We start from the raw sequence: 11,766 nt of genomic DNA on the forward strand, positions 1-11,766 counted from the left end.
ACCCAAATTTGGAAGGGCTCTCTTTTAGGTTTCAAAGGGAAAGCTCAGAAACAAAAAAAATCATTTCACTCGGAACTTGGGAAATGAAGAGTAAGGAATAGTCAAGGGGAATTTTTAAAAGTTTGGTTTCTAAGGTCACTTCAAATTCTACTCTGCAGTAAGTACAATTGAGAGAGGCTTAAAATGCAGAAAGGAGACAACGTCTGCTCGAGCTTAGGCCCAAGATGCGGAGAGGCACAAGTCAAGCGGTTCTGATACCTGGTCGAGTGGTCAGTCCTCGGTCGGCAGCAGGGCGGGCATCAACAGGCTCAACTGGGCACAGGAAGCAAGGGACACAGAAAGCAAACAAGACAAATCAAGATGGTAAGTCGTGGCTCCCAAACATAGTCGAGCAGGGAAAAAAGCATATGCAATAAACAAGTTACAAAAAAGGAGCAGCCAGAAAAGAACCACAGTGAGTTAATCCCGAGCATCGAGGACCAGGAGGGGCACCACTTTAAATGGCTTATCGCTATTGATGTGCCAGTCCTGCTCCTTAGTTTTCTAATAAAAGCCCTCACCAGGATACGCAGCAACATCAAAGAAGAGGGGTGGGGAGGGTGGATTTCCCTCTGAGCTAGTTTAGAGATAGTTTCTTGGCTTTTGATTAGAAATAAAATATTCCCAGCCTAGCAGAAAACCTTAAAGATACTTCCTTTTACAACTGCCCAATCTTATCTTATTTTACAGTTAATTAACTACAAAAGGACTCTGTTAAATTTCCAGGGGAAGTGCAAATATGAATTTATCAGGAGAGCAAAGTTTTACTATATAATCTGCCATTTAGTGAGTGAATCAAATTTGTCCTTAGTATGAGGGCAGAAGAGGGAAACCGCAGTCTTTTTCTCACTTTTTCAAAAAGGCTGGCTTCCATTTGACAGATGACATACAGCTGAAACGTGTGAAATGAGGATATTTCATTTTATATTTGCCATTGTTCACAATTTTCCCTTTTTATGTGTTCTGGGTCCGACCCAAAGAAAGCAGTGTGGACAGCATGATATTCCTCACCATCATCTGACCTTTCCAAAGCACTTCTGATGCTCAGAAAATACTTCCTTGTTTTACGCTGGCGTTTGAAGAAACAAGGAATGGGGACAAAAGTGAAGTTTTTAGGATTAATAATGGTCATAGGGTAAATGAAGCCACGGAGGTAGGTGCAGGGGGAAGCTGCTTTGGTAAGGTGGCAAGTGTAAAGGGAAAAAGGTAAGACAAAGTGAGCACAGGTGCTGAAGGAGACACGGTGTGCTCGATGAAATGGCTTCTAACAATTTCAGCAAAACCATCCAGCTTACTGATGCACACAGGCCAGGCATTCAAAGGTGGGATTCTCAGTCCAAATCGATTTTGGATGCCACATGTTAATAGAAACAGTGAGGGAGAAAAAAAGTGGCAGTAAGCCAAGTCTCCAAAATATAAGAAAATATTTCCGGGAGCACTAGGATATTTGGATGAAATAAAAATTTGGTCCTTTCTCATGTAGAGACTGGCAGCATGGTGGAGTCAAAAGGAGGGTGAGGCATCTAATCCCAGGCCTGGGCCCAACATTTACAATGTCTGTGGCCTTGGGATGCGCCACTTCTGTGGCTGTTTCTCCATATGGAAACAGAAATGTTAACATCTGCATCTTCTAATTATGGTGAGGAACAAATAAGTAACCTTTAAAGCCTGTTTGAGACCCTACCAGATACTACAGAACTGCACTGATTAAATATCCTATGATTAAATATTCCATAGTAACTACTGATGCGAGAGTGACTATTCTCTAGTATTTCACTAGTGCATTAGAGGAAGACATAGTTCACTTCCTTCTGCAACTCCCAAATACATTTCGACAATGAGGTTTGGTTTTTCTATACTTCATTTTTTTTCCTATTTGCAGCAACCTGTAATGAGTAACTGTATTACTCCTTGTAAAATGCAGTTAGTTGAAAGGTCATTGTACTTTGTGAGAATTTCCTGATGATGAGGGACCCAATAGTGCTTCAACTGCAGTTAAGAACACAACAGACCACATGCACGAGGGCAAACGCGTACCTTGAAGTGGTGGTGAGCACATACATCAATAGTTACGTTATTAGAAAATGTATATGCAACTCGGGGCAGTAAGTTAAGTGTACCTGTGGTTTAAATGCAGGCTGAGGAGCTGGTAGTCCCACGGGCCACTGCTAATGTCACCACTTACTTTCTCTGTGATCTGGGGCTAATCACATTCTTTCTGAACTTCAGTTGTGTCACAAAGTAAATGGTTTTTCCAGGGTTCAAATGCGTATACTTATGTGAAAGAAACTTACAAATGATATTGTCCTATAAGTTTCTCTGCCTCTCCCCGCTCTTCTTCTTCTTCTTCTATTTTTTTAAATAGGCATGTATTATTTAAAAACAATAATAAAACCCTAACCCTATTTTTTAGGAAGATTAAACAAAACTAGTTTCAGTGACATAAACCCTAATCTGCTTTAAAAGATTGAAGCTGATTTAGTATAAATTAATGCTCAAAAAATAAGTAGCTCAGGGAGCAGACATTAAAAGTTTTTTAAAAGGCAATTATGATATCATTGCCGAAAAAAAAGAATACACACCAACAAAACAAAGTAGTGTGTTATTTCCCAATCCACTGCAAATACTTTCCAATTTTTCCAATTGACCTTTACTTAACCAGACAGTAACTTCATCAATGAAGTGCTAAAAAACATCTTACATTGGCTGTTTAGTAATTTAAAAACAAGAAATACATTATCTTAGCTTTAACTTTTAATAGAGTTAAAATAAAATGTAAGCAGAAATGAGTTATTCTCTTGCTCTCAGTAGCTTTGAATCAAATCCTTTGCTGTAAGAGGAGAGAAACAGAATGGTCAGACCTCTGGGATTTTTGAGTCTGTTACTTCTGGTATTCTTTGTAATAAACCTCAACTATTAACCGTGCTGCCTTGTACAAACTCTCTACCAGGCCAAAGGTAATGAGGAATCAGCAGTACACCAGTTTTACATATAGATAAGAGGCTGACAAGAACTGGTTTGTAAGTTTAATGAAATATTTATTTAATCTAAATTTCAACATTTAAATTGGCTTCCTCATTGCCTCTATAAAGCTAGTTAAAAATATACTAGAAGGCAGCTTCACATTTTGCAAATACATCCATACAAGTCTTATAAGACCTGCTTTGTCTCTTTAAAAATATTATTTTATCTACATATTATATCTAGGTATTATCTACAAAGAGGCAGACTGTTGGCCACAAAGACTTGCTGGCAGTCACTGCATGCTATGCTGCTCTTTGTGGCTGCCCTTCTCAGGCAGTCAGGAAAAAGTAGAACAAACACAAATGTCATCAACGCTAATGCTTCCAGCCAGATCATTTCACGATCTGTGAGCACAATTCTGTAACAACAGCTTCATTTCAGCCTAGCCATTCATTTAGGTTTTGTGGATGTGAAAACCAAAGAATAAAAAATTGTTAAGGCAAATCACAGCACATTGGAAAACTCTGATATGCTTATTTTCTTCAATGTAAATTTAAAAAATGGGCATCAGAACCTCCTCTGGATTTCACTGATTGTTCTTAAGAAAAACAACAAATTTTTGGTAAGCATTTGAAACTATGATAATGAGGACTGCATGAAGAACAAAAGGAAATCCTTTGAGAATTTTAGATATTTTCAGTAGTTGGGTGTATGTGTGTGTGTGTGCACATGTCTGTACAAAGAAAGACTAACAAGTTTCTGGGGAGAGGTGGGAGACGGTGTTAGAAGAGAGACGGCTTTAGGACTGTATCTCATTATATGGCTTATTATATTCATTATTTTAAGGATACATTGTTGAGGCCATAAGGTGATTCATCTTGAGACAGGCTGATAAAGTCTCTCTAATAAGATCCTGGCTCCATTAAAAAAAAAAAAAGCTACCACTGACATTTACTACGTTCCAGGAATTTTGCTAAGAGCTTTTTTATGCCTTCTTATTTAATGCTCATACTATACCTCTGAGTTAGGAATTATTGTCAACCTTATTTTACAGACGAGGAAGCAGCCAGAGAGGCTAAGTAACTTGCTCAGAAGCACATAGCAGGGCTGGAATTTAAACTCGGGTCTGTATCATTCAGGAGTTCAGGGGTATGGGGTAGTATTTAATATCCTATGAGATGATGGCCGTCTATTTTATTTAAAAACCAATTGGGGCCGGGCGCCGTGGCTCATGCCTGTAATCCCAGCACTTTGGGAGGCTGAGGCGGGCGGATCACGAGGTCAGGAGATCGAGACCATCCTGGCTAACACGGTGAAACCCTATCTCTAGTAAAAATACAAAAAATTAGCCGGGCGTGGTGGCGGGTACCTATAGTCCCAGCTACTCGGGAGGCTGAAGCAAGAAAATGGCATGAACCTGGGAGGCAGAGTTTGCAGTGAGCTGAGATCGCGCCACTGCACTCCAGCCAGCCTGGGCGACAGAGCGAGACTCCGTCTCAAAAAAAAAAAAAAAAAAAAAAATTGCTTAAGTGGCTTTTTAAATTGTTTGCTATAATCAATATATATATGTCAATGTTGGGACTGATAATGAAGAGTACTGCAACTCAAGACTCTGACACTGCAAGTTCTATTGCCTCCCAAAATTGTTATACCAGATTCTACTGTTCAAACAGAATCATCCAACAAGAATATCAGCTCTTTTCATGAGACCTAGGCAATGTAATAGCTGCGTGTTTGTCAAGTATCCAGAAGTACTTAATCAAGGGCTTTGCTCAAATGGACATCCTGGCAATTACCAAGGGTTCACAGTGTATGTGTGTGTGTGTACATTCACACGTGTGCACGCAGATTTTCTCCTAAGGCTGATGCAACAAGGTATGCTGTTAGTAAAAGAGCAAATTTAGCGTGCATTCAATTTACAAAATGAGATCGGACATTTTTCACTAAAAATTCTCATTAGAGACTGAATGAAGAGGACCTTCAATGACCAAAATCTATCTACCTGTAAAGAAACAAAACAATCTGCACTCAATACATTTAACAGGACAGTTTTCCAGGTCTTTGATAATGAACTGTCCCTAAAATTGTTTTCTTCTATGTGATTAAGAATTATTTTCATAAATGGTAAAGTTTTAATTATTTTTACATTGTCAGTAACATGCTGTTTGCTATTACTGTAAGGTGCCCTTTTTCAAATTAAGGAAACAAATTTGGGGTGATGATTCACATTGTGAAAATAGTCTATATATTTTCTGCAATGGTTCTTTAGAAAAAACTTGTCCAGTACACTTAAGGTCTAATATTATATTTAGATTTAGTACTAATTGCATGTTATAAGGTATATATATTTTTTACTTTATTTATTTATTTTTTTTAAATTTAAAGTCTCGCTCTGTCACCCAGGCTGGAGTGCAGTGGTGTGATCTCAGCTCACTGGCCACGTCCGCCTCCCGGGTTCATGCCATTCTCCTGCCTCAGCCTCCCGAGTAGCTGGGACTACAGGTGCCCGCCACCACGCCCGGCTAACTTTTTTTTGTATTTTTAGTACAGACGGGGTTTCACCATGTTAGCCAGGATGGTCTCGATCTCCTGACCTTGCGATCTGCCCACCTCAGCCTCCCTAAGTCCTGCGATTACAGGCGTGACCCACGATGCCTGGCCTATAAGGTATATTATAAATATGAAATCTCCATCAACATTTGCTGCTTTGATAAAGAAAATCAGGTAAAGTGCTGTTGTGTTCTTAAAAAACATGTTATTTGTATCTAGAAATCAAGGTGTTTGTGTGTAATTGTATACTTCTGAACATGTAGAAAAAGATAAAAGAAGCTGAAAGATATTCTTGCCTGAACAGGTGTTTCTGCTAAGAAATCCCTGTGAAAAAGGATGCCATCTACTGCTCAAATTTGTTGATAGAGAAGAATCTTACTTCTCTGAGGTACCAAAGGAAAAAACATTTAGAGCAATGTGCTCCTTAATTTTGGCAGCTGCCTTAAATTTAATTTTCTAAACACAAATTAAGTCTTAAGCAAAATTAAATTTTATTTATATGTAGTTCTCTATCTTTGCCTTTAACATTTAATTCAATCTGAAATTTCATGTAAGAATAAGTAGCCAGTGAAGACTACTTTGGTGCCTGTCAAATCTGCATCTCTGCAGGCCCTCAAAACTCCTCTCTGTTGGTAAACTGTAATTTTTCCTTATTTCACTATCTATCTGCTTTTTTGGAAGGTGGCATTCTAGGTCATTACGTCATAAACACAAGTTGAATTTTGTGCTTCCATTCCAGAGGGAACAATATACCTCACAGTTAAAAAACATTTCTAAAAAATTCCTACCAAAAGTCATCACTTAAGAACTTAGTCTCCTGGTGCCTCCATTTCCTCATTTGAAAAAGTCATAAACATAATAATATGATATACAGTACATGCTCTTTATGTATCCACTTTTGTTATATAATGTACCATTTTATATTAAGAAGAGGAACTGGAAAATAAAAATTAGAAGAATGTTATTGCCACACATTTTCCTTGTGAAGAACTGCCTCTTCAATAATACACTGTGGCTCCCCTTCGTCCGGGAGTGTTCACTCGAAGGATAATATTCCCTAGAATGCAAACCTGGACATGTGCGAAACAAGAGGCCCTTTACCTGCAAATGTTATGTAAATCATTACCATTTTGTTTTGCCACCTATACAATGGAGTTGTTGTCTTTTCCAACAATTGGCAGTTTACATGCTTTGCAGCATAAAAAATATAAAGAATAATTTACACAGATATATTATTTTAATGACATAGTAACTCCTAGTATTTACTTTTTAAAGTAAAATTATAATGAAAATATTTATGACTACATCAAAAAAAATTCACCACTCAAGAACATACAAAAGATAACTCTCTCTCTTGCACACACGTTATGTATGTGTATATATACCTCCCAGAACGCCCTTGCTGGCTCAGGGGACTCTTACCTTCGTTTTCTGTGTTGGCTGGCACAGAGTCAGCCCCAAAAGAATGCCACGGCTGGAGATCGTCCAGGCTGAACTCTCCATTCACGGGAAGGAGCTCCACGGTGGTTTTCGTTTCGGTCAAAGATGGCATGAGAGCATCGTTTCCGTAACTGATCCTTGGTTCACTAATCATGTTGGCCAAGACGTCATCTGAATAGTTTTGCTCTTTCTGAAGCAGCTCATCTAAACCAAACAAAACCATCTCTTTGGTGAGTAACAACAATCACAACAGCAGCAGCAGCAGCAGCCACCATTTACTTCTGCCAGGCAAGACTTCAACTGCTTTCACGTGCATGATCGCGTTTAGAGCCATGACATAGGTACCATTATCATCTCCCTTTTACAGATGTGAAAACTGAGGCACATGGCATTCAAGCTACTTATGCAAAGTCGCAGCTCACAAGAGCTGCTGGCAGGACTGCAGGCAGGAGCATGGCAGCCGGCCAATGTGCTGCAGCGTGGCACTGCTAGAGGTGAAAGGCCACAGGGGCTCAGCTGCCATTTCCTCCTGACACAGTTAGACGTCCCTAGTATACAATGATCGCACAGGAATAAACGCCAGGCTTTGGTGTGGCGGCAGTAAGTGAGGCACAATCTCATTCAAGCTGAAAGACAACAGACAATCTCCTGTCTTGCCTTGCACACTTGCAAGGATAAGAAAAGCATTAAAGGGCCAGTAGTTTGCTACCTTCTTGAATAGTTTTCACTGTCTTGCCTTGAAAAAAAATCTGCATTTCCTAAATGCTCCTCTTGTGCTGCATGACCTATGCTCTGAGGCAACAAGGAAACTGTTCCCTTGCCCTTCCAGATGTAGCCCTGCAGACAGACATCCAGCCTTCTCTGGACTTAACCACCCCTGGCTCCCCGTATTTCCCAATGTGAGCAGACACCAAATATCCTGCCTTTCTCCTCTGTTGCTTCCCTTTCCAAAGAATGCTGTCAGTGCCGCCTACCCCCCCACTTTAAAAATTGATTAAACAAGAATCAGCTTTATGGAACATCATTGACTTATCTTTTCTTACTGGAAAAAGAGAGCTTAGAATATAATCTTGTATCATGTGTAATTACTGCTTTAAAAACTGACCCCAGGATATGAAGATTTGTGAGTCTTCTCTTATGTCACCAAAGATTCACCATGTTTTTCTCTGATTTTTACAAATTAGAGACCGACAGACAGCACTGCACTATTAACAATAATATTTGATTAACCAAAATGTCTCATTTTCCAATCATAGCTGTGTCAAGAGTTTGCTGTAGTATATATTTCAGACACATCACTGGTTAGTTTTATTGCTAGAGAAAATGAAAATAAGATCAGGATTTAAATTTGATTTGTAACATTTTACAATCATCTTTCAAATTCTCTTTTCTATTGACAAAAAATGTATCTGAAAAATTAAAATTCTGTTCAAATATACCCATTAAAATAATTTGATGGAATAGCATTAAAGCTTGTGATTAATATCTTTTCATGTAGTCAGTTTTATTGCAAGTGATTTTAAATGATGGAAGTCCCAAGCAAATTAGTCCTTTTGAAGTCTAATCTGAGTTATAATATATCCCTATTCACTGTGGCACCGTTTCTAAAATTCAATACTTGATGCCCATGATGACCTTTCCCTTACAGATAAAAGACCCTCATTAGATTTCCTCCAACTTTTTCATGTTTTACAAAGCCATAGGTAGCGGCTAATAACTTAGCCAATGTCTGATTAAATAAATTAAATGAGCATTTCTTTTATATAAATCTTTTGCTTGTGACTGTTAAGCACTTACTATGCTAAAGAGAGGATATTCTGGAATACTAATAATTATTGGTGCATACACATTCATCTTGACAGGAAATAACCTTTGCCAGCGAGAAAGCTCTTGAACTCCCCAGGGGCTACGCTGTTCTTGGGTCTGTGGTATCTACTATCACTTACCATGTCCTTTATTTGGAAATGTTCTCACTGTTTCGCATACACAGTACTTATCTTCTTCCCTGTGACATCTCTGAATAACTCTTTTTACTCTTTTTTTCTCCTCTCTTCATCCCTGTCATTTTCTTCTTGTATCTCTTTCCATCTCTTTCTACAATTCTCCCCTTTGGAAATCCCATCGACTCTTGAAACTCTAAAGATCTCCTACCTTTGGGTGAATCTGAAATGTACTTCCCCAGCTTTGACTTCTCCCTCCCACTCAAATTTGTATATTTCCAACAGTTTGCTGGAGATACCAACTTAGGGCTCCCTCCTGATCCATGCACTTGGTAGGTACACAACTGTACTCAAGGTCCCTGGCTTTCCCTTCCACCTTTCCTGTTTTCTAATCATGGCAGAACCATTCTCCCTCCCAGTCACAGGCTTGAATCCTTCAGAGCCATCCAGGACTCCCTGTATTTCTTCGTGTCCAGTACTCACACTACCGACAAATCCTTTTGCATTCTATTTCTGAATTCTCTCAGCCATTTCCTGCTTGCTTTTCCACACCACCCTCACCGCCCCTAGGAATATGATTACTTTTCGCCTGGATAATTACGATAGTCTCCTCACTGCTTGCTATGGTCTGAATGTCCCCCAAAGTCATGTGTTGAAACTTAAATCTCCACTGTGGTAGTAGTGAGAGATGGGGTCTTCTGGAAATCAAGTCATGACAGTTCCACCCCGTGCCCCCGAATGGACTACTGCCTTCTAAAAGGGCTAGAGGAAACCAGCACAGGCCCCTTTATGTGCATCTGCCATGTGAGAACAGTTTTTGCTGCCTCTGGAGGATGCAGCCACAAGGCGCCTTTTTTTTTTTTTTTTTTTTTTGAGACGGAGTCTTGCTCTGTCGCCCAGGCTGGAGTGCAGTGGCGCAATCTCGGCTCACTGCAAGCTCCGCCTCCCGGGTTGACGCCATTCTCCTGCCTCAGCCTCCCGAGTAGCTGGGACTACAGGCGCCCGCCACCACGCCCGGCTAATTTTTTGTAGTTTTAGTAGAGACGGGGTTTCACCGTGTTAGCCAGGATGGTCTCCATCTCCTGACTTCGTGATCCGCCCGCCTCGGCTTCCCAAAGTGCTGGGATTACAGGCGTGAGCCACTGCACCCGGCTTGATCCTGGGCTTCTCAGCCTCCAGAATTGTAGTATTTCTATTGTTTGTTTATAAATTACCCAGTCTCTGGTATCATGATAACAGCACAAACCGACTGAGACAATGGTCTCCCTGCTGGTTTTTATTTTACGTTTGGTTCCTGAAATCTTAGTTCCTGACACACAAGAATGGCTCCCTCTTTGTTTCAGTGGGTCTTCATTTTCTACCGAATTAATTCCAACTCCTTTGCCAGATGCTGAAGGCCCTCTGTGGTCTGGGCCCACCCCGTATTTCTAGCCATGGAACTCACAGCTCCAGCTGTCTACACCACACCTCTCTCTCAGGCTAAATAGCTTGGGGTATTCCCACAAAAGACCATGCATACCCATTCTGACACTTTTGTTTTCTATTCCTGCTATCTTGGAAGCCCATCTCTGCTCATCTACGTTATTTGAACTCTTTAGAGCCCAGCTCAAATGCCCTCTCCTGTATGACTCTCCTCTCCCAAGGCAGGCATTATTAATCTGATGGGACAAGGAGACTGAGGCTGGGAGAAAGGAACCAATCTCTTCAAGACCCAATGGCCAGTAAGCACCAGTGCTGAAATCCAAGTCCTGGGCTTCATAACACCAGCCTTCCCATGTTCAGCCCCTATCTATTTCAGCCTCTCGTATTATCACAAAAGTAGCTGTAGAAATTAGGCATTATTAAGCATGTCTGTTCCAATATCTTTAGCAGTCTCTTCCACCCTTGTGGATTTGTAAGCTGACTTAATCACCGTTAGTCCTATGGAATGGTTATTGCTTTTGGTCATCAAATAAGCATTTCTCAGGCAGGGGCAGCTGGAAAGGGCCCTGTGCCCATCTTAGCCCTTGGCAGTAAAAAGGCAGAGGAGCAAAAGATCACAGTGAGAAATCTTACACTTGTACTTCACAGAACAGTCAGGGGAGGTTGAGGTACGCTGTAGTACCCTTTTCTCTTTTCTCTGTTACACTGTTGGTAGAAAAGTTCCTCCAAATGGCCACCAGCATGCTGAGCCCCATGGTGGTTAATTATATTCATTTTCAGAAAATGTAAGTGAAAAAGTGACAGATTCAAGAAAAGGTACATTTTTAGCAGAGTGAAACACACTTAGCCTTCGTTTTTTTTTTTTGGTCGTTGTTCAAAATAGGAAGAAATCCACATTCCTATCTTAATTCAACACAGAAAATTTAGAAATAACCACCCCTGGCTATGTCATTCAGAACAACGAACCTCTGCCTCCTGGGTTCAAGCGATTCTCCTGCCTCAGTCCCGAGTACTGTGATTACAGGCACACACTACCATGACCGGATAGTTTTTATGTTTTTAGTAGAGACAGAGTTTCTCCATGTTGGCCAGGCTGGTCTCAAACTCCTGACCTCAGGCGATCTGCCTGCCTTGGCCTCCCAAAGTGCTGGGATGAGGCGGGAGCCACTGCGCCTGGCCGTCAGTGTAGTTTTAAGAGAAAAAAAGAGGTAGACATGATGGATTACCATTATCAGAAGTGGAATTCAATTTCGTCATCATAAAATGTCTAAGGCAGCCAGCTACCTGTAGACATGACTAAGGGCTCAGGATTTTACCAGTGGCTTACACACTGGCACTGGGCAATTGAGCCTATGACAAAATACCCAGAGACAAATATGATTCTTTCATTGTTCATTCTGAGTGGGACTTT

At 40.5% G+C, this 11,766-nt stretch overlaps 1 protein-coding gene across 11 annotated transcripts in view; it reads right to left on the reverse strand.

Moving 5' to 3' along the window:
- Positions 1–11,766, reverse strand: part of APP (amyloid beta precursor protein) — a 290,579-nt gene that overhangs the window by 24,216 nt on the left and 254,597 nt on the right. For 8 of the 11 annotated variants that reach the window (NM_001136131.3, NM_001136129.3, NM_001136130.3 and 5 more), the window contains 2 exons: positions 6,976–7,197; positions 259–312 (listed from right to left, as the gene is read on the reverse strand). In NM_001136131.3, coding sequence (NP_001129603.1) covers positions 259–312; positions 6,976–7,197 — 276 coding nt within the window. The remainder of the gene's footprint in view (positions 1–258; positions 313–6,975; positions 7,198–11,766) is intronic. The other 3 variants (NM_001204303.2, NM_001204302.2, NM_001204301.2) reach the window with 1 other exon arrangement.

The sequence above is a fragment of the Homo sapiens genome, chromosome 21, assembly GCF_000001405.40.
Source record: "Homo sapiens chromosome 21, GRCh38.p14 Primary Assembly".
In the NCBI taxonomy this organism is placed as follows: domain Eukaryota; kingdom Metazoa; phylum Chordata; class Mammalia; order Primates; family Hominidae; genus Homo; species Homo sapiens.